Here is an 18,631-nt window from a genome sequence, read left to right as displayed (position 1 = left end):
AGATTCCGTCTAAAAAAAAAAAAAAGTGACAGGGCCACTGTTCTATTGAGAGGTGGGGAACTGTGTCCTCTCCCTTTGAATTGGGGCAGGTTTTTGACCCTGATGGAAGTGATGCTAGGTGTCTTCCAAGGCTGGGATATGAAGGGTCATATGCCTTTCACCTGGTTCTACTGGGATGCCAGCTTTTGGAACCACCATGCTTTGAGGAAGCCCAGGCAGCCTGCAGAGAGGCCCACTTGAGGAAGAATCACAGCCCTTTGCTGGCAGCCCAGGCTAACAGCCAGCGTCAACCTGCTAGCCACGTGAGTAAGCCATCCTGAAAGGAGAAAGGTCCACACCCCAGTGGAGCTGATGCCACATGAAGTAGAGAAGAGCTGTCCTCACCAGCCAGTGTCCAAATTGCGGATTCAAGAGCAAATGAATGAGCCTTCTTGCTTTAAGCCATGATATTTTGGGCTGGGTTTTTACACGGTAAGACAACTGATACAGTTCCCTATTTATGTAAACACTAAACACGCTCTTTGGTGTTTGTGTTGAGTAAACTGCTTTTATTTAGAACTGCCTCTCCTTTTCACAAGCAGCTGTCCCAACAATTGTTCTACCCTAGATTCTGCAATGAGGGCTGGAACCACTGAGGAAGGTGAGAAGTGACAGACAAGTGAACTATTGTTTTTGAGTCCTCCTTGTTCGATGACTATGAGGAGGGAAGGAGGATAGTTTCCTCTTCTCCTACACTTGAAGCTCCTGTCAGCCCCCTTTCTCACATGTCCTCCAAAGGCCTCTGGGATGTGCAGGTAGGTGGCTACATTTGGTTTTTTTTCATAGACACACTGATAAGACTATTGTTTTGTATTTCCAAAAAGTCAGTACCTCTTAAAAGAAGATGACAGACACTCCCGTATCTGATATACATAGCATTCCTGGATATATTACTGCATTTATTAGTGACATCGATGACATTCAGGTACACCTAGGAGCTGCGCAGGGAAGTGGCTCATGTTCCTCCCTCATGTCCCTTTTGGACATCTGGGGTCCATGCTCCCCTTGAACACTCAACTGGATGTGTCTATTCTAGGAAGGGGCAACCATCCTTTCTGGGTCCAAAGCTCAGCCATACGCCAAGAGGAAAAGATTTGATCAGACTCACTCCTCACTGTAAGCTGATACAGTATATCTCTCTTTAGCTGATCTGAAACCCAGTTGAGACATGTCTAATGATGATGATGATGACGAACTTTTCCCTTTGTATCTTAATTTTCTTCCCCTTCCTCTCTGCCTTCATCCCTTGTTCCACTCTGTTTCCAGTAGAATTATCCAGAAGAAATTTGTTCTCCTCTTTAGATAGATCCTTCGAACCCCTTCCCAACCCAACTCATGTTCTAAAGCTTGTTACGTGTTTTTTTCTTTCCAATTTGACAGACACTTTTGTTGTTGTTTTTGTTTGTTTTTTAACAGGGTCTCATTCTGTCACCCAGGCTGGAGTGCAGTGGCATGATCACTGAGCCTAGAACTCCTGTGCTCAGGCAATACTCCTGCTTCAGCCTCCTGAGGAGCTGAGACTACTGGCATGAGCCTCCATGCCCGCCATCCATTCTGACAGACAGTTCTACTTTCCTAGCAGGAGGCAGAACCCTGAGTAGGACAAATGGATGGCCAGACAAAGCAATCAAGATGGGTGGTGAGAGTGGCTCCATCTTTTTCCTTGCCCTGCAGGCCCCTAGGAGAGGGTTTCTCTGAGACCTGATGTTTCCCACTCCATACCTAACAATGGTGAGGAACTAGGGCCAGGCTTTGTGGATCCGGCACTTTTCTCTAGGCCACAGTTAGCTGCTTAGAGGTTGTGGGAGGAGAAGGATCCTGTTATGACCAATTCTGCAAATGGATTCCAATATGTCTTTACAGTCCCGGGGCCCTGGGAAAGTGTGTAAGTGTGTGTGTATGTATATGTGTGTGTGTGTGTTGGGGGTGGAGTTATTCTGGGTCATGCCACCTGGAAATCACTGCATCAATGAGACCTGGAGATCACTGCATCAATGAGACCTGGAGCAGCTCACTTCATTGTCCCCAGAAAGGCATCTTTGCCCAAGAAGAGAACCAAAATCATGGCTCAGGGAGAGATGGCCCCAAGTTATGCATCTTGAGTGTGTTTGCACAGGTGGAGGGGTGGGTAGGGTAGAAGGTTATTCAACAGTCCTGGTTCTCTGGATCTATCCAGGCCCTCGACCTTTATCCATGTGCTCACTGACTGCTCTGTTGGGGGCCTCTTTCTGCCTCCCAGCTGGCGGTGAGCTAAGAGGCTTCCGGTGTCAGGGAATGCTCCACCTCCGGTGTTCAAGGCCACTTTTTGTGCATGTGTGTGTACCTGTGTGCACGCTTTCCCAGAAGCAAGTCTCCTTCTTGTTGTTTTGGGAGCTTCATGTCCTGGAGCCAGGGCTTTGTGGCTAACGAGTGCTTTGAGAGGATGAAATTCCTGAGCTCTCGCTCGCTGACCCTCTGCCTTCCTTCCTTGGCCAACAGCCCATCCCAGGGAGCGGTGTGATTCTTACCACTGCCTTCACTCCTTGAAAGAACAAACATCTTCACTGCAGCCTCTGAGCGCTGGTGTGAGGTGATTGTTTGTAGTAGATGTTTCCATGACACTCATTTATTTCTTCTGCAAATACAACTGTATTGGGGGAGGGGAAGCAGACAGGCTAGGGTAGGGAGACTGGAACATACGAAGACCTTCCAGTTTCCTATTTACATTCCTCTGTAGGATGAGAAGCTCCTTCCCTTTCCCTGGGTCTCCTCCATCCCAGACTCCTAAAGCTTCCCCCAAACCCATCTTGGTTTCATGCGGCCGAGTCGGGGCTGGGCTCCGAGTAAGGTGGAGAGGGGAGGAACCATGTGCGTGAGGAAGCAGCCTTTATCAGGAGAAGTGGGAAAAAGACCCAACTTTGACTGCTTGGAGTCGGGATTCAGTAATGATGAGCAGCAGTGACCAGCACTGGGGGTGGAGTGTGTGTGCACGAGTGTTCCTGAGGGGTCTGTGGCACTTCGCAGCTGAGCCAATGACTCACTCTAAATCTTAGCGACTTTGAGAGGTCATTTTAGTCATCCCCCGGTCTGCATCACGTTTGGAGGGGGTGGTGCGCTGCTCTGGGGACGTGTCTGGGTGCGGAGGGAGACGGGGTGGGGAGGCGGCGCGTGACCTCTTTGAAAAGATCTCCGGCGAAGGACGTTCCCCGGCTCTCCCGGGCCGCCGGCTCCTGGGTTTCCCCATCATAGAATCAGCATGGTCCTCTCGGGAACTGCTTTTTGCCGGATGGAAACCGGATGTTGGGTTCCATGAGTGGGCGGGGGCTCCACTTCCCTCAGACCTGTCCGGGGTAATTGAGACCCGCCAGGGTCCCGTTAGAAGCTACCATTTCCCTCACCAGAAACTTGCCACGCAGTGTGAGCCGAGAGAGAAGCGGGCAGAGACGCTATACCACCTTCTCCCCGGCAATGCGCATGATTCTGCGGCTCTGTGCTCGCCACACTTCAACGCACCTTGAAATGGGCTCGCCTCCTTCGCGCCGCGACGGGCGGAAGGCTGAGCCAATCGGACCCCCGGCTTGCGGGCGGCGCCCAATAGGCGGGCGGCGGGGGCGGTTCCGGAGGCCCGGCCCGGCTAGGCTTCACCGTGGACCTGGCTGCGCTCCGCCCGGGCGAGTAGTGCAGGTGCCGCTGCGCCGGGGCCGGGGAGGCGCGCGCCGAGCCGAGCGGAGCCTAGGAGGGATGGAGAGCTGGCCACCCGGGCTGCAGGAGCACCGGCGCGGGGCGTAGGCGGCGCGAGGCGGGCGCGAGGCGGGCGCTCGGGCGCGAGGCGCGTGCGGGCGCGGGAGCACTTTGCGATAGGATGAGGCTCCGGGCTGGCGCGGTAGTACTATGATTTGGTATGTGGCCACTTTCATAGCAAGTGTGATCGGCACCCGAGGGCTTGCGGCTGAAGGTGAGTTGAAGTGCGGCGTCCCTCCCCTGCCCCTCCCGGCGCCCTCGGCCCCTCGCGCCCGGCCCCTCGGTTTCCCGGCTCCTTGGCCCCCCGGTTCCCCAGCTCCCCGGCGCGCCTTCCCGCGGGTGAGGCTTGGGCTCCGACGCGGGCCAGGCGGCCCGGGAGCATTGCCGGGGAGGGCCTGGGGGCCGTGGGCTGGAGGGGCGGGCGGGAAGGGGCCAGAGCCCACGGGCTGCCGGGCACTCGGGGAAAGGACGCAGTGGAACCTGGGTCGACTTCGCCCACCACGGGCCCCACGGTGCACACCGGCGCGCCTAGCCCGTCGCCTCCTGCCCGGCGGCCGCCTCCCAGAGCTGCGGGAAACTCTGGCTGCGGGAGTTTGCGGTCTCCGGGCAGGCTGCAGCACGCTAGAGCCCCGCGCCGCGAGGAGCGCCTGCAGGGAGGCGCGACCCGGAGGATCCCTGGGACTGGCGGCACCCGCGTCTAAGGCCCCGGGTTCGCGCGGCCCTGCGGGCGTCCATCGCTCCGCTCGCGCCCCTCCTGCCCACACATCTTGGCAGCTGGAGGTCGGATCCCCCTAGCAGGGGCGCCCGGTGAGAGGAGGATTGATGAGGCCAGCTTCGAGGTGTGTCCGCTTTTGGCTGGACCCCGCCGGCCCCCGCGCCTCTCAGCCGCACCTGGGCCCCGGCCAGGCAAAAGTTCCCCGGGAGCGCGCCGCAGCCGCGCGGGCCCCACGCCGCCCTCCCCAGGCTGCGAGGCAGAGCTGGCTGGGGGCGGCGGCGGGGGAGGGGAGGGGCGGGGAAGGGGGGGTCCCCACGCTGTGAATCCGAGCGGAGGGGGGATTTTCTCTTTCCGCTTTCCTGGGTCTGAGCTGGGGGAGACGCAAGGGGGGAGCCACCGAGTTGGGTGATGCGTGCGTGAGCGCGCGGGCTTTTGCTTTGGAGATGGGCAGAGCGACCTACAAGCCTCTGGGTGGCACCCCCGGCTCTCGGCCCTTGTATGGAAGTGGGAGCGGAGCCTGGAGGGTGCCAGGACTGTGAGCTCAGGGCTGTCAGCGCGCAGACACGACCCGGCTGCGGGCAAGTTCACCAAGCCGGAGGAGATGGCGGCGGGAGAGAACCCGCTGTGGGTGGGAGTCAGCAGGCAGGACTCGCCGACAGAGAACCCTCTCCCAGCGGCATGGGGCGCCGGGTGGGCTGGAGGCGCCTCTCACGGGGTCCCCTCGTCACTCGTCTGTGCAGGGGGGCGTGCTTCAGGAAACTTTCCGGAATGGAATGAATATGTCGCCTCTGCTTCTGAGGGGGGTGGTGGTGTCTGAAAACAGAACGAGCAGAGGGCGAAGCGAAGGGTGATTTTGTTAACTGACATGTTGGTCCGGACGGTTTTAAAACTCTTCATTTGTCAGGTGGGAACACTGAGGCAAGGGTGATGGCGGAAGCTTACGGAACGGGGGGTGGATGTGAGGTGCATCGGGCTGCGCTTGACAGTCTGCCTGTAGCCTCATCCTCTCCCCCATTTCCTTGCCGTCTTCCAATGCCCGCATCCTCCTCCCCTCCCGTTTTTGGTATGTTCCTGCTATGGGACTGTCCCTGAAAGCACAAAAGGATGAGCTGGGATCTTTGAATAGAAAAGAGACGCTGAAGGAAGGCTCTGAAATAGCCTCCGAACCTAAGTCAGGGTGGGCAATGGACTTCTTTGCAAGTTTCAGCCCAGAATAAAGGAATGTGAGTTTATACTGCAGCAACACGCAGAATCGCAAGATAGAAGGAAGGGCTTCCCAAAATTGAAGGCTGCCTGGCATGAAGGTTATGCCCTCTTTCAGGGTGCAGAGGGGTCCTTCTGTCTGGAATGGCTGGACATGTACCCCTGTCTGGAAGCAGAGGGTGACCTTGCTGGTCTTGGGGTCTTTCTTAGCCTCAATTGCTCTGTGTGTGGTAGTTAAGGACCTAGGTCTAGAGCCATATGACTGGGATTCAGATTCTGGCTGTGTCACCTGCCGACCCTGTGACCTTGGACAAATTCTCAACCTCTCTAAATGTCACTTGCTTCAATAGAAAATGTGCCAATAGCATGTACTTTTAGGGTTTTTAGGTGGACATGAGTGTTATAAGGAAACAAAACAACTACCTGTTATATAGTACGTGCTCAGTAAACATTAACATTATTTTCTCAGTGTCCCTGGGATTCCAAGATCCTCCTCAATTTCTTTCCCTTGGGCCATTCAGGGCACTAGGAGCTGAGAATGTGTTGCGGGGAAGTTCAGAAGGCTGCCTGTGTCAGGAAGTAAGACCCCTTTCTGGGCTGACCTTGTCTGGGCAGAACCTCTTGTCCCTGGCATCCCAGGGACACGTGTGCAGGATGTGCGGGCCTCAAAGCTGCTCGGAAGTCCTTTGCAAGGTCTCCAAAGCTGGAGTGTTGTTGGTGGCCAGAGGTTTATGGAAGGACACAGCCCGGGAAGTGAGGGCTTGCAACACACAGCCTCTGGAGAGAGCGGGTGGGCGCCCGCTCGTGTGAGCAGCACCAGCCAGTGTCCACATGCTGCTGAGTCTCCCTGTGAGAGCTCAGCTGTTCCCTGACTGGCAGAGGTGACTTCTGGGGCAGTCCCTCAGCAGGAGGGACTTTGAGATGCCACCCTTAGGATTTGGCCATAGCAGGGGCTGCTCTGGCAGAGGGGGAAAGGGATGATGTTGTGTTGGGACCCGACTCCATCAGCCCTCGGGTGCGGGACAGAGGTTGGAATGGGCTCCTCCTTTTGACTTTGAGTGTGTGTGCCTGGGAGGTGATTAAGGTCAGTGGACAGGTTGGGGAAGTGTGGAGAAGAGAGGGGCTGGAGTGGTACCCAGAACCTGGAAGACAGTGATTGGTGTGCACTCAGTATCTCAGACGGCTGCTGAGCCAGCCCGGGGGAGTTCCTACTCTGTGGGAGGACCCTGGGCCGTGCTTAGCTGATTGTGGACCTTGGATAGGGGAGGAAAGTCCCAGACTTTACTCCCACGGCTGCCTCCTCTGTCTGCCACAGATTCTGTCGTTACATTATCCCTGACTACAGTGTCCCCAAATACAGTGAGGTTCTGACTCAGATCCTGCTGGTAGTTGGGCCATTGCCCTCTACTTTCTACCTGGCCTTGACCTATGCTTCCTTTTGGTAATGAAGATGGGAGGGTGGAGGTTTGGACTCAGAGGTTGCTATCAAGACCCCGTGGTGAGCCTATCGGCTGAGAAGGACTTCACTCAGGAAGTGGTCAGTGGCTGGATGGATGTGTGTGTGTATCCTCAGCACACACATGCTGGGGACAGGAGTGTGTCTGGCAGCCTGTGCCCTGTGGGAAGCTGGGGAGACGGGGATGTGAGAAGGGCTTGGCTGAGGGGCAGAGGGCAATCAGCTTTCAGCCGCGGGCCTGTGGCCCTGCATGTGCTGGTCCTGGAGTTGCAGGGTCCTAGATAGACCTTGAGTGGTTTCGTGTTTATGGCTCTGAGACAGAAGGCTGGAATCTGGTTACAGAGGAGCAGAGGCTGCCTCGCTGGAAGATTCTGAGCCCCAGCATCACTCTGGCCCTCACTCCAACCTCCTGTACCTTTGCCTTCTCCCCAGCCAGGGTGCTGGCTGTGTCTTCTTCCTTGGCCCTCTCTTCCTCAGCCCTGCTGGGTGCTTCAAGATGTGGGGGTGGGAGATAAGCTCCAAAGAGGGCTGGGCCTGAGATTTAAGGTAGCTCTCTTCTCCACATCCTGTGGCCTTCTCAGGTTGGGGTGCAGAGTACTTAGGGAGCGGTCCCCTTCCACCTGCTTCCTAGAAGAGGTGAAGCAGCTTGTGTGAAGAGTGGATCTGAATGGTCAAAGAGCTGCAACTGCTGAGAGCTTCCAGCTGTCCAGAAGTGTGTGTGTGTGCACATGCATACATGTGCACATGTGTGTGCGCATACACACATGTTCCTATATGTGTACATATGTGTGTGCCCCTGCATGTGTGCATATATGTGCCCCTGTGTGTATGCATGCTGGCATGTATGTGCATTGCATATGTGTGCACACCTGTATGTGTGTGCACATGTGCCCATACGTGTGCATGCACATGCATGTATGCCTGTGTGCACATACATGTGAAATCTGTATGTGTGCCTGCCCACAAGTGCTTGAGTGCCTGTGTGTTTGTGTGCACGTGCGTGGAGTGGCAGGGTGGGGAAGTTAGTGTGCAGACACGAGGTGGGGGCCACTCCTCTCCGTGCTGCAGCCCTGAGAGCAGAGAGACCCTTGGAGCCAACTTCTTGCCTTCATATCCCCTCCCACTCTGCCACGGTGCCCTTGGTGCTGCAGTCTAGGCAGCACAGAGGTTACCAGAGTGGCAGGCCCCAGCCCAGGGCCTCTCTGTCTCCCTGAGGGTGTGGCTGTGTCTCAGTTGCTCACTCCAGAGGACTCTGGGGTTGGATAGGCAGCTTATGCCCATTCCCCAAAAGGCGCTGCCCATGGGTGTGAGCCCAGTCTGCTGGAGGCAGCTGACCTATTTTTCTTGGGAATCTTCCTGCTTTTCTGTTCTCTCTTGCGTGAATAAGCAGGAGATGGGGCCTCCAAGAGGGCTCTGGAGAAAGAGTCCGAGTGCGCCAGAGCTGGGAGGAGTCTCAGCCGGCCTGACTGTCCTTTCTGAGAAGGTCCCGCTCAGCCTGGCTTTCTGTCCTCTGTGGCCCCTTGCCTCCCTCCTGGTCGTGTGTGCCCCCGAGATGGAGCGGGGGCCTGTGACTTGCACACAGGCACAGACTGTACGAGGTGAGTCACTGTCTTCATTTTCTGGCTTTGGAGTAGGAATGTTGATGTTGCCCGGGGAGTAAACATGGGACTTCGGCTTCCCACGGACTTACTGCCTCTATCTGGCATCTTACCACGGAGCCCAGCCTCCTGGGGGCCGAGCCCACGGTGCCCTCAGTTGGCCAGGCGGCCTGCCGGCTGCAGGGGCGCGTGCACCTGGGCCCTGTGAGTGCCGGGCAGGCCTCTGCCCAGGTGGGGAGAGGGGCAGTGGGGGTGTGGCTTTGCCTCTGCTGAGGAGCCATTAAAGGAGTGGAGCAGAGATTGAATTACTGACTTCCTTCCTGCCAGTGGCTCCTGGGGAAAGGACTCTTGGAAATACAATCTAGCCGAGAGCAAATTAAGGTTGCTAATAGCATCCCGGCCTCACAGCTGCTGGGGGAGCCCAGCCGAGAAGGCTCAGGGCCGGAGCGGCCCCCGCAGAAGGAAGGAGCCTGCTGAGCTTGCACCTCCCCAGTGCCTCTCTCTCCTTAAGGAGCGGCTGGGGCTCCCTGACCCGTGGCTTCCGAACCTGAGAGGTTTGGTGGCGCGTGGGGGCCGGGAGGGCTGTGAGGGCATGAAGGGGAGATCACTGAAGGGTGGAAATGCTCTGAGGTGCTGTCGGGTTGGGTGTGGGGGCTTTCCCGCAGGCAGAAGGCTGTCCAGAACAACCCGTACCCGTCTGCCTTCCTGCAGGGAGAACAGGACACCGTCGGCGTTTTGGACCAGGTCTCTCCCCCGCCGCCTCGTCCTTTCTGGGTGTTCGCTGTGCTTTGGGTCCCGCCTTCCTCCTGCCTTCCTCTGGGCGTGTGCCTCCCACTTTGTGAGAGCCCCGGGTCTGCCGGCTTCCTGGAATCTCCTGGAGCCTCCTGGCTTGTCAGGGAGGAGGGGTTGGGGGACTATTGGGGGCTGTGCCTTTTTTGGACTCAGCAGGGATTATTTTTAGGCTGGCAGATGGAGGTGGCGGTGGCTGTCGCTGGTATTATTAGACAACAGGCCTGTGGTTTGGAAGTCTGGTGCCCAGAGGAGGAGGAGGAGGAGGAGGAGGAGGCTGCAATAAGGACTTGTACTAATGAGCAACGGATGCTGGTGCTCACTCCGTTCCCCGCTTCCCCAGCCACCAGCCAGACCCAGCTAGGGGTCTCAGAGTCTCAGGCAGAAGGCCAGGCTCCTCAGAGCTGGTCAGAGCCCACCCGGCCGCCTTCTGAGACAGGCCCACCCTATGGTCCTAGGCTTCAGGGTCTGGGCTGGCAAAACCTGTCCCCAGTGTGGGGTTGGAGTTGCCGACCTCTGGCTCAGGCCCTAAGAAAGGGAAAAGTGAGGCTCAGTGGGTGAAAGGCCTTGATCCCGGCGCCTGGGTTGGGCCAGGATGACCTCTGCCCCACCTGCTTTCTGAGAAGGATAGGGACACCATCCGTGCATCGGGCACAGCTGGAACCTAGTAACTTTGGGTGAGCGGCGCAACTCCCCGTTTGCTCATTTTTCAATGGGAGACAGCGGTGCGTGTGTCAGGAGGCCATTGTGGGCAGGGACTGAGATTCCCTGCGTTCCCAGCACAGAGCCTAGGGTGCAGCAGGCATTCACAGCACGCGAGGCTTGCATGCCAGCTGATGCTCGCCCGGCCCTGCTCCTCACACCTTGCCCTGCACACCTTCCTCCGTATTCAGAGCAGTCCTGCTTTCAGGCACCCTCCTTCCCCAGCCCTTCCCCGGCGGAGGAGCTCCGGGTTGTGAGTGCTAGACATGGGCTGTGCCAGGCCCTGGATGCCTCATGGTTCTGCACAGGGGTCCAACGGCAGCCCTGGACTCAGCCACCCACTGGGTACCACCTGGCCCAGAGAGCAGGAGATTTGTACCCTGTGGGCTTCCCAAAAGGTCAGCCAGACCTCTGGGGGCTGCCTTATCTTTCCTTGCCCTCCTACTTTCTCTTCCCCGCCATAACTGCTCCAAAGGGAGCTGGACACACCCCCAAGATACAGATTTACTAGGTTCTGGGCACCGCTATTTCTGGCCTTCTCTAAAGAGAGTGAGACCTATGGTGCCTTTCCCTGTGCCCACTCCTGACAATGCTGGTTTTCCCCCTTTGAGGGGGGAGCCTGGCCCCTCTGAGCTGCTGTGATGGAGAGGGGCTCAGCACACTCCACCCTCCCCTTCCTCTCTTCCTCCCCTTCCTCCCCACTCCCTTCAGGAGCCAGCCCCTCCCCCTTCCAGTCTCCATCTGCCCCCACCCAGGCTCTGGGGTGTTCTGACAGAACACAGACACACACAGGTGTGTCTGTGTCCAGCTGGCCTGAACTCACCCTCCCAGGGCTGGGCTCCACACCTGGCCCCTCCTCTGCTCTCCTCTTTGCTCTCCACTTTGCACCTCTTTTGCTCCTGGATGTGGGTTTGGTTTCCCCCTGTATTTGGGTTTCTCTATCTATCCTCCATCTTCCCTCTTTACTGCTAGCCTGATTACTTTTTTTCATATTGAGCTTTTCTGGAGAGAGTGTGTTATTAGACATACTTTGGCTCAGAAATGATCAGGCTTAGGGAGAAGTGCTTGTGGGTGATGGAGTGAGAGAATATGCCGTGCGTGTGTGTGTGCGTGCGCATGTGTGTGTGAAGGAGATGACAGAAAACCAATAAATATTCTAGGATCCAGAAAAGCAAGAGGGCTTGGAGCGAGGGTGGAGGCCAGGACATGGGCGCCCACACCACTGCTTTATTCTGGGGAAGCTCCCTCTCATTTTGTCTTGCTTATCCTCTTTGGGATGTGTCCTCTCTGCAGCTGCCTCTCCCTGGTTGAAAGGGTCTTTGGGAAGAGATGCTGGGAGGGGACGGCCTGCCTTGGAGGTAGGCCTTGGGTTGGGTGCTCAGCGCTTAGCCCAGGGGCTGGCTGGGGCTGGGGTGGAATCCCAGCGCTGGGGAAGATTTGAAGAGCCTGCCTCGTTGCTGTGCAGTGAAAATGAGGCTGGCTCGGTGCAAATGAGCAGCCTCACAGCGGGAACCCACGTCAAAGCCAACCCACCTCCTGGCGTTGCCCGCTAGAGCCCTCCACCTGGAAGCCAGCTCACCAGAGCAAACTCCACTGTTGGAGGTGCCTGCTGTCCCCCTAGGCCTCTGTTCCTCCTGCCTGGGCCAAAGCCCTGGGAAGGAACCACCTTCTGTTGCCCACTCTGCCCTCCTCCAGGTAACCTGGCACCTGGGAATAACTCCCTCCTCTTCCCCTAGGCTCTTGTAGTTTCTTATCTCCTCACAGGTGTGTGCTGTAGACACACACACACACACACACACACACACACACACACACACACACACAGCTTCTCTGCAAACTCATGGCACCCATTATTCACCCATTCCTCTTGGTCCAGCATCCGCCTTTGTGATCCTGGCTGCTGGGAGGCAGCCTCTCCTGCTGAGGGCCCCTGGGGCTGTGGGGGAGGTGAGGCTGCAGCTGGGCACTCTCCCTGCTTTCCCTGAGGGGCTGGGTTGCAAACTTAGCCTGAAGCAAGGTTGGGGGTGGGGGAAATTGGGAAGCATGCTGGGGCCTCAGGCAGGTGAGTGCAATGCTCTGCTCTGCTCCAAAAATACTCTGTGATCTTAGCTCTTTCTCTAGAAAACTGTGATGTCACCGGGAGCCAATCAGCTTCTGGAAGGGCTTGCCTCCTCCCTCTTCCGCAACTTGCAGGGGAGGGGGAGGGGGAGAACAAGACACACAGAGATGACATACAGACAGACACGGAGAGCCACAGACACAGAAGTACATACATGCAGAGACGGAGCCCTTGCATACAGAGAAGCAGGCAGAACCCCTCCCCTTGCATGAGCCAACCGAAACACACACAGACACACACACACACACACACACACACACACACACGCACACATGCTGGTAGACAGAAACAGGGAGAGAGATAGGCAGGTAGACACAGTCACCCACACAGAGCAAGAGCTAGAGAGAAAGAGACAGAGGGAGACACAGAAAGACATGGTGAAGGAGCAGGAGCCAGAGAGAGATGGACGGACAGACACATGCAGAAATGGAGCCCGCAGGACAGATAGGCAGACAGACAGGCAGACAGAGGAGCCAGCAAGGCAGACAGACAAACAGAGATCCAGAGAAGGAGCTAGAGAGAGACAGACAGACAGACACACAGAGGAACCAGTAAGACAGACAAACAGAGATCCAGAGATGCGAGAGAGAGAGAGAGAGAGAGAGAGAGAGAGAACAAACACAGAGGAGCCCAGCATGTGTGTGTGCGTGCACAGACACAGAGAGGTGGCCAGACACAGACATGAAGGGATAAGAGACAGCGAGGTGCACACAGGGGTCCGAGATGCAGAGAGAGTCAGACCGAGGCACCGGAATGGGGAATGGCAGGGGCTGGTGCTGCCCTCCTCTGGGCATCCTCCCCTGCGGGAGTCCCCAGCTGGCTCTCTGTCTTTAAGCTGCCGCTTCGGTACTGCAGCTGCTGTCCTAGGTGCTGCCCTGGAGAGTCGGGTGCCCGGCCTGGGACCAGAAGGGTCTGGGGCTGGGGAAAGCTGTGGTCAACTGGCAGTAGGGGGTAGTACCAGGGAATGAAGGGGGTGAGGCTTCCCCTCAGCTGTTCTTTTCCCTGGGACGTTACTGGACAAGGTGACCTTGTGGCCTCCCTGGCCCTGCCTGGCAGTGGAGCCTGGCGTGGGAGGAGGGCTGCATGCCTTCTTTGGGCCCAGGAGTGGTGCTGCGGCGCTTGGGGTGCGTGGCTCTTCCTCTCTGCGGCGTCCTCTAGCTTGTGGTGGGGTGGAGGCAGGGGTGGTCCTCCCGCCTGCTGCCTTGCTCGCCCTCTCTGCTGCCAGCCAGGGTGGGTGTTCCCTATCCCACCGTCTGATTTCGTTTTCCTCTGCCCAACGTGGGGACAGCCCTGGGATCTCCCTCCTCTGTCGCCAGCATCCTGCTCTCCTAATGGTGATGTCTGGGGCTTGGGCCCCTCCCACTCCCCCCTCTGCGGCAGGGCTGGCAGAACTGTGCTGGGAGGAGGGGCTGGAGAGGCCGGCTCAGCCTGCGGGGTTTCCCTCTGGTGTTGCCACGAGCAGCCTCGGCTGAGCTTGTTAGGGATTTCCCTGCTCCTGCATGGAGTACCCTTGTTTTGTGCCATGCACATCGGGCTGAGCTGGGGGTGGGGTGGAGGAGGAAGGCTGGCTCTGTCATTTCCCACCAGGCTGTAGTGGCAGGCGTCCTGGAGCAGAAAGAATGTTCCCTGTGCACGAGCGGCCACAACTGGGCAGTGCCGTGGGCCTCCAGAGGGGGCCGGGCCCCTCACCTCCATGTCCTGGACTCCTTGTAATTCTTGGGGCAGGATGCCAGCAGGGGGTGGGGCTGGATGACGCCTGCGGCTCTTTGAGACTGGGGAGGGAAGAGCTGGCGTGTAGGGCTGAAGAGAATGGCTTCCCTCTCTTTTCCTCTCCCTTCCTTTCCCCCAAGTTGTGGATGCCTGGGGGCCCCAGGACAGAGGGAGGTATGAGCAGCGAGGGGGAGAGGGATGGAGGGTGTGCCTGGGACCCTCCTGGGAGGGTACGGTGGCCCATGGAGGGCAGCTGGTGGGGGGCGGGGTGACCCTGTGACACGGACATGGGGCTGCTGGGGCAGGATCTCTTTGTCACCTCCTTTCTGTGTCCAACCTGGCCGTCCCCATCAGGCGCCCACGGCCTGCGAGAGGAGCCCGAGTTTGTGACGGCAAGAGCTGGGGAGAGCGTGGTCCTGCGATGCGACGTGATCCACCCAGTGACGGGACAGCCCCCACCCTATGTCGTAGAGTGGTTCAAGTTCGGGGTCCCCATCCCTATCTTCATCAAGTTTGGCTACTACCCGCCGCACGTGGACCCTGAGTATGCAGGTAAGGTCTGGGCACCCGGTCTCCCGCACCTTCCCCAGCTGGAGTCAGCTCCTCGGTGGTTCCCCTCTGGCCCCTGCCTTGTCCTGACCACTCTTTATCTCTGTTTCCCAGTCTCTGCCTGGTTCCTCCCATCCTTTGTCCTCTGTTGGTTCTAATCAAGCGGTGGGAGGAGAGGGCTGTGGAGGTGGGGCAGGGTAAAGCCTTCTGAACAGCACCGCCTGGGCTGTGGAGAGGGCTGGGAGCCAAAGGGGAAGCTGGAGAGGCCTGGGTGGGAGAGTGGGATGGAGAGGACAGCAGACTGAGTCAGGCAGCCCTGGGCCAGCACGGCTCTCCCTGCTTGGCCGCACCCACCCCTTTCCTCTTGGCTCTGAAGTCGGGGCGCCTTCCCGTCCTGAGTGTATGGATGAATCTTTGGCCTCCCACCGTTTGCAGGTGCCTGGTGTCTGCCTCCTTGTCATGCTGTCCTCTCCTTCTCCTGGCCCCGTCTGTGTCCTGTTTGGCAGTTACTCCTGCCAGCAAAGGCCTCGTGACTCACTGCCGCTGCCTGCCCCCCAGCCCGCGGGAGAGGAGGGCGTGGGTGTGTGTGTGCGTGCGTGTGCGTGTCATTGAGCGAGCGTTGTTGGGGTTGAAAGGAAGGGAGGAAGCAGGCAGGGCACTGCCTTCACTTTCATCTTTGCTGGTGGCTTCTGAGGTCTGCCCTGCCTTTCTCAGAATGCTTCCGTCTCTGTCCCTCTTTCGCTCCTGTGCCCATGTCTCATGCTCTCTTTTTGGCCAGGGTTGGCTTTGAGAGTCTAGTTTTTAGGCAGATTGCCAGCATCAGGACGAGGAGGAGAGCAGAGGTGTGGTGATATTGGCTGCGGTGAGGGGTGAGCTAAGAGCGGGTGAGGTGGGCCGACCTCGAGGGCTGCTCCACCCTGCTGGCGTCATGGAAGAGGCTTCTGCACCTCTGGCCTCCTCATTGCCACATGTGAGACACAGATGGCATCCTACTGGGGCAGGGGATTAGAGCTGAGGAAGGGTGCCTCCAGGATGTTTGCTCTGATGGCCAACCCATTCCTTGTTCTCAGGCTTCTGGGCCCTGCTGCCCTCATCTCCTGGGGTCACTGGGCTTTGGTAGGATACATAGTCTCTCTGGCACTGACAGCAGGACTGGGAGGGGACCCTAGCATCCTGGACCCCAGCCTGCCTTCCCTCTGCCCTAGAGAGGGAAGCTGGGTGAGCCAGTAGTCCTGGAAATGCTGCTGGGATAGGGATATTGCTCAGCCTGAATGGAGGTGCTCCCGGGTGCGCTGGAGACCCCCCACCCATCCTCTTCTGTTGGCACTTTTTCATTCTCTCTTTCATCTCTTCACAGCTCTGTATCCATCATGCCTTACTTTTGTCTCAGGAGACCTCCAAAAGAATGAGAGTATTCTAGGGAACTGAGGCTGCTCTCAATGCCAAGTGCATTGAGTTGCCTTGCAGGCTGGGGCAGGGCCAGCTGGGGCGGGAGAGTGGCTCTGTGGCCAAGGTGCTATGCCCTTTCCTTTGCCACCTGCTGCTGGAGGTGGGTGCCAGCTGTTATTCTGGAGCCCTGCCATAGGGAATGGTATGAAGATTATGATGAGTCCCCTGTCTTTAGCTGGGGCAGGGGGCGGGGAGCTGCTGTCCTTACCTGATGGCCTGTGGGGCTTTTGTCTGCTCTATTCCCCCAGGCCGGGCCAGTCTTCATGATAAGGCATCTCTGCGGCTGGAACAAGTTCGCTCTGAGGACCAGGGCTGGTATGAGTGCAAAGTGCTCATGCTGGACCAGCAGTATGACACCTTCCACAATGGCAGCTGGGTCCACCTCACCATCAACGGTGAGTGACGGCTTCCAGGGTGGGTCCACCTCACCATCAACGGTGCCTGAGGGCTGTTTCCGGGGTGGGCCTGCCCCAGGGGAAGCCCTTCTCCCAACTGCATCTCACCCCCTGCCCCCCTCCTTGTTGCTGTGGTCCCATGAGACATCAGCTCACTCCTGCAGTGTCCCCGCTGCTGTCTTCTCGAAGCCTGTGCAGGCAGTGCAGGTGCCCAGGAGCGGCAGCTCCCTGCATGTGTGGTGCTGTCAGAGTCCTTAGAGGGACATGGGAAGCTGCTACTTCAAACCAGGAGGGCTGAGGCTTTAAGGTGGCAAAATGGGTCACCGCTGGGATTATTTCCCAGCCTTGGGAAGACCCTGCTACCCCAATTCTGGTGGAGTTCCTGGGGTCCCAGAGTTAGTCTTTCTTTTTAGATCGATGTTTTGGTTCTCTTTAACTGTATTCGTTTGATTAGTATGTACCAAGGGTGTAGTGTGTATCCAGCTCTGCAGCTGATGATGGATAAACACTGGCAAGCAGACCTGCACCCAGTCCCTGCCTGTGCGGGGTTTACCACATAGTAAAATGCAGGCATCCTGGGAAGCGTCACAGTTTTAATGGGCGTCAGTTATTACAGCTCAGGTTAAATGCCTTGTGCTGGATAAGATGCTTTTCAAGGATCTGGGTAAGGGCAAGGAAGCCCCAAGAGCTTGCTGAGCTCTGGGAGTTGGCCTAGGCTGGGGGCCTGAGTCCCCAGCGGTGACAGCACTAGAGGCTGGGTCCTCGGGGTCTCCCTGGAGGGAGAGTCTCCTCTTTGTGTCCCTGGAAGGAGGTACTCTGGAGGAGCTAGAAGGCTGGAACCATGGAGAAAAGATGAAGGAGAAGTGGTCCCCGTCGTGGGAGGGGAGCGGGTTTTAAAAAACATTTCGTTTTGTTTTTTGGCCAAAAAATTAACAATGTGTCCTTCGTTATTCCATTGATGACAAAATTTGTATCTAGCCACCGTTGTGTGGCAGATACTGTGCTAGTTATTGAGGCTTCAACAGCGTGGGTGCTTGGGTGTGCCACATACAGCTTACGGTCCTTGAGACCATAGATGCTGTGGTTAGAATAGAGAAATTGACGTTCCTGGCTTGGAAGCTTCTCTCAGTTTTTATCTGCTCCGAAGGGTGGCTCTGTCTGCCCTGCCTGGGGGGGCTGGGCCAGACCTGTGTTCCTTTTGGGTCTGAGAACTTGTCCAGGACCCTGGAAGAACGGAATATGTTATATTTTAGCAAGATCACTGGCTTTGAGAAAAGAAACCTTACAGCTGGTGGCCCTAGGCTGGTGTGGGTCCAGCCTGCCTAGCCCAGCCCTGCCTGTGGGAGGTGGCTGGCTCCTGTCAATCAGTCCCAAGAGACTGATTGAAGCATATTTGAAATCTTGGGGGGATTGTTCTGACCACCTGGTAAGCTTTTGAGTCACCGCCTTTTGGTGCCAGCTGTTGCGTGAGCAGGGAACAGGAGCCCAAGCAAAGTGTAATTAGGAAGGCAAATCTGCCGCTAAAACCTCGCCTTGATGAACACCAGGCTGAGGGTCCCCGCATTGCTTCCCTTCTCGACTGTGCTCTATTCTGAATGGGAGGGTGAAACCATCTTGGGGCACTGCCTCCGTTCTTTTGCATCATCCTGATTGGCAGTGTTCATTTCAGGAATCTGAGACACCAGGCATTCAGTGGACGTGCGTATGACTGGAAAGTAGAATCTCACTTCAATTTTATGTTCTGGAGCGTATCTGTGTTAGTTTGCACGAGTGGGAGTTGGTTCTTTGGGAATTCCTAATTGCTTTGAGTGGGATAAGCATGGAGCGAGACCTTTAAAAGATGAGGTTCGTTTCATAAACCCACTGTGTACTAGCTGTGTGGCTCTGGGCAAGGTTACTTACCTGTCGGACTTCCGGTTCCTCAGTTACAAAAAGCAGGGACTATGATTTGCAGGGCTGCTGTGAGGACTAGGTGAAATGCTGGATCTTGCACAGTGTCTGGAGTGTTAATTACATGTGGGTAATTATGTGTGAGATGCTGGCCATCCTCCTTCTCGAGAGGAAAAAAAACAAAGTCAGATGAAAATCTAGTAGCAGGGATATCAGGCCGGAAGGTGTAGAGGACTTTGGTAGTTTTGTGAGTCTACCAGCAGTTATCCATTCGAAACATAGTTTTGGACATCCACT

The 18,631-nt window shown here is 57.0% G+C and overlaps 1 protein-coding gene across 1 annotated transcript in view, besides 6 other annotated features; it reads left to right on the top strand.

The window, feature by feature from the left end:
• Positions 3,518–3,867: a silencer, noted in NCBI's record as "silent region_4089". NCBI's record gives its function as "represses an Ori minimal core promoter by ATAC-STARR-seq in GM12878 lymphoblastoid cells {active_cell/tissue: GM12878}" and the evidence as "EXISTENCE:reporter gene assay evidence [ECO:0000049][PMID:35858748]".
• IGSF9B (immunoglobulin superfamily member 9B) overlaps positions 3,696–18,631 on the top strand; it is a 60,531-nt gene continuing 45,595 nt past the window's right edge. The window contains exons 1-3 of the mRNA NM_001277285.4: positions 3,696–3,973; positions 14,406–14,603; positions 16,298–16,444. Of these exons, the coding sequence (NP_001264214.1) occupies positions 3,910–3,973; positions 14,406–14,603; positions 16,298–16,444 (409 nt within the window). The 5' untranslated portion in view covers positions 3,696–3,909. The remainder of the gene's footprint in view (positions 3,974–14,405; positions 14,604–16,297; positions 16,445–18,631) is intronic.
• Positions 8,013–8,756: an enhancer, noted in NCBI's record as "H3K27ac-H3K4me1 hESC enhancer chr11:133821803-133822546 (GRCh37/hg19 assembly coordinates)". NCBI's record gives its function as "activates a minimal SCP1, AML or CMV promoter by ChIP-STARR-seq in naive H9 embryonic stem cells {active_cell/tissue: H9 hESC(naive)}" and the evidence as "EXISTENCE:reporter gene assay evidence [ECO:0000049][PMID:30033119]".
• Positions 8,757–9,500: an enhancer, noted in NCBI's record as "H3K27ac-H3K4me1 hESC enhancer chr11:133821059-133821802 (GRCh37/hg19 assembly coordinates)". NCBI's record gives its function as "activates a minimal SCP1, AML or CMV promoter by ChIP-STARR-seq in naive H9 embryonic stem cells {active_cell/tissue: H9 hESC(naive)}" and the evidence as "EXISTENCE:reporter gene assay evidence [ECO:0000049][PMID:30033119]".
• Positions 12,964–13,193: an enhancer, noted in NCBI's record as "active region_5767". NCBI's record gives its function as "activates an Ori minimal core promoter by ATAC-STARR-seq in GM12878 lymphoblastoid cells {active_cell/tissue: GM12878}" and the evidence as "EXISTENCE:reporter gene assay evidence [ECO:0000049][PMID:35858748]".
• Positions 13,469–14,197: an enhancer, noted in NCBI's record as "H3K27ac-H3K4me1 hESC enhancer chr11:133816362-133817090 (GRCh37/hg19 assembly coordinates)". NCBI's record gives its function as "activates a minimal SCP1, AML or CMV promoter by ChIP-STARR-seq in naive H9 embryonic stem cells {active_cell/tissue: H9 hESC(naive)}" and the evidence as "EXISTENCE:reporter gene assay evidence [ECO:0000049][PMID:30033119]".
• Positions 14,927–15,655: an enhancer, noted in NCBI's record as "H3K4me1 hESC enhancer chr11:133814904-133815632 (GRCh37/hg19 assembly coordinates)". NCBI's record gives its function as "activates a minimal SCP1, AML or CMV promoter by ChIP-STARR-seq in naive H9 embryonic stem cells {active_cell/tissue: H9 hESC(naive)}" and the evidence as "EXISTENCE:reporter gene assay evidence [ECO:0000049][PMID:30033119]".

This window comes from Homo sapiens, chromosome 11 (assembly GCF_000001405.40).
Source record: "Homo sapiens chromosome 11, GRCh38.p14 Primary Assembly".
Lineage (NCBI taxonomy): Eukaryota > Metazoa > Chordata > Mammalia > Primates > Hominidae > Homo > Homo sapiens.
The sequence above is the reverse complement of the archived record's forward strand: the minus strand, read 5'-3'. Positions and strand labels throughout refer to the sequence as shown.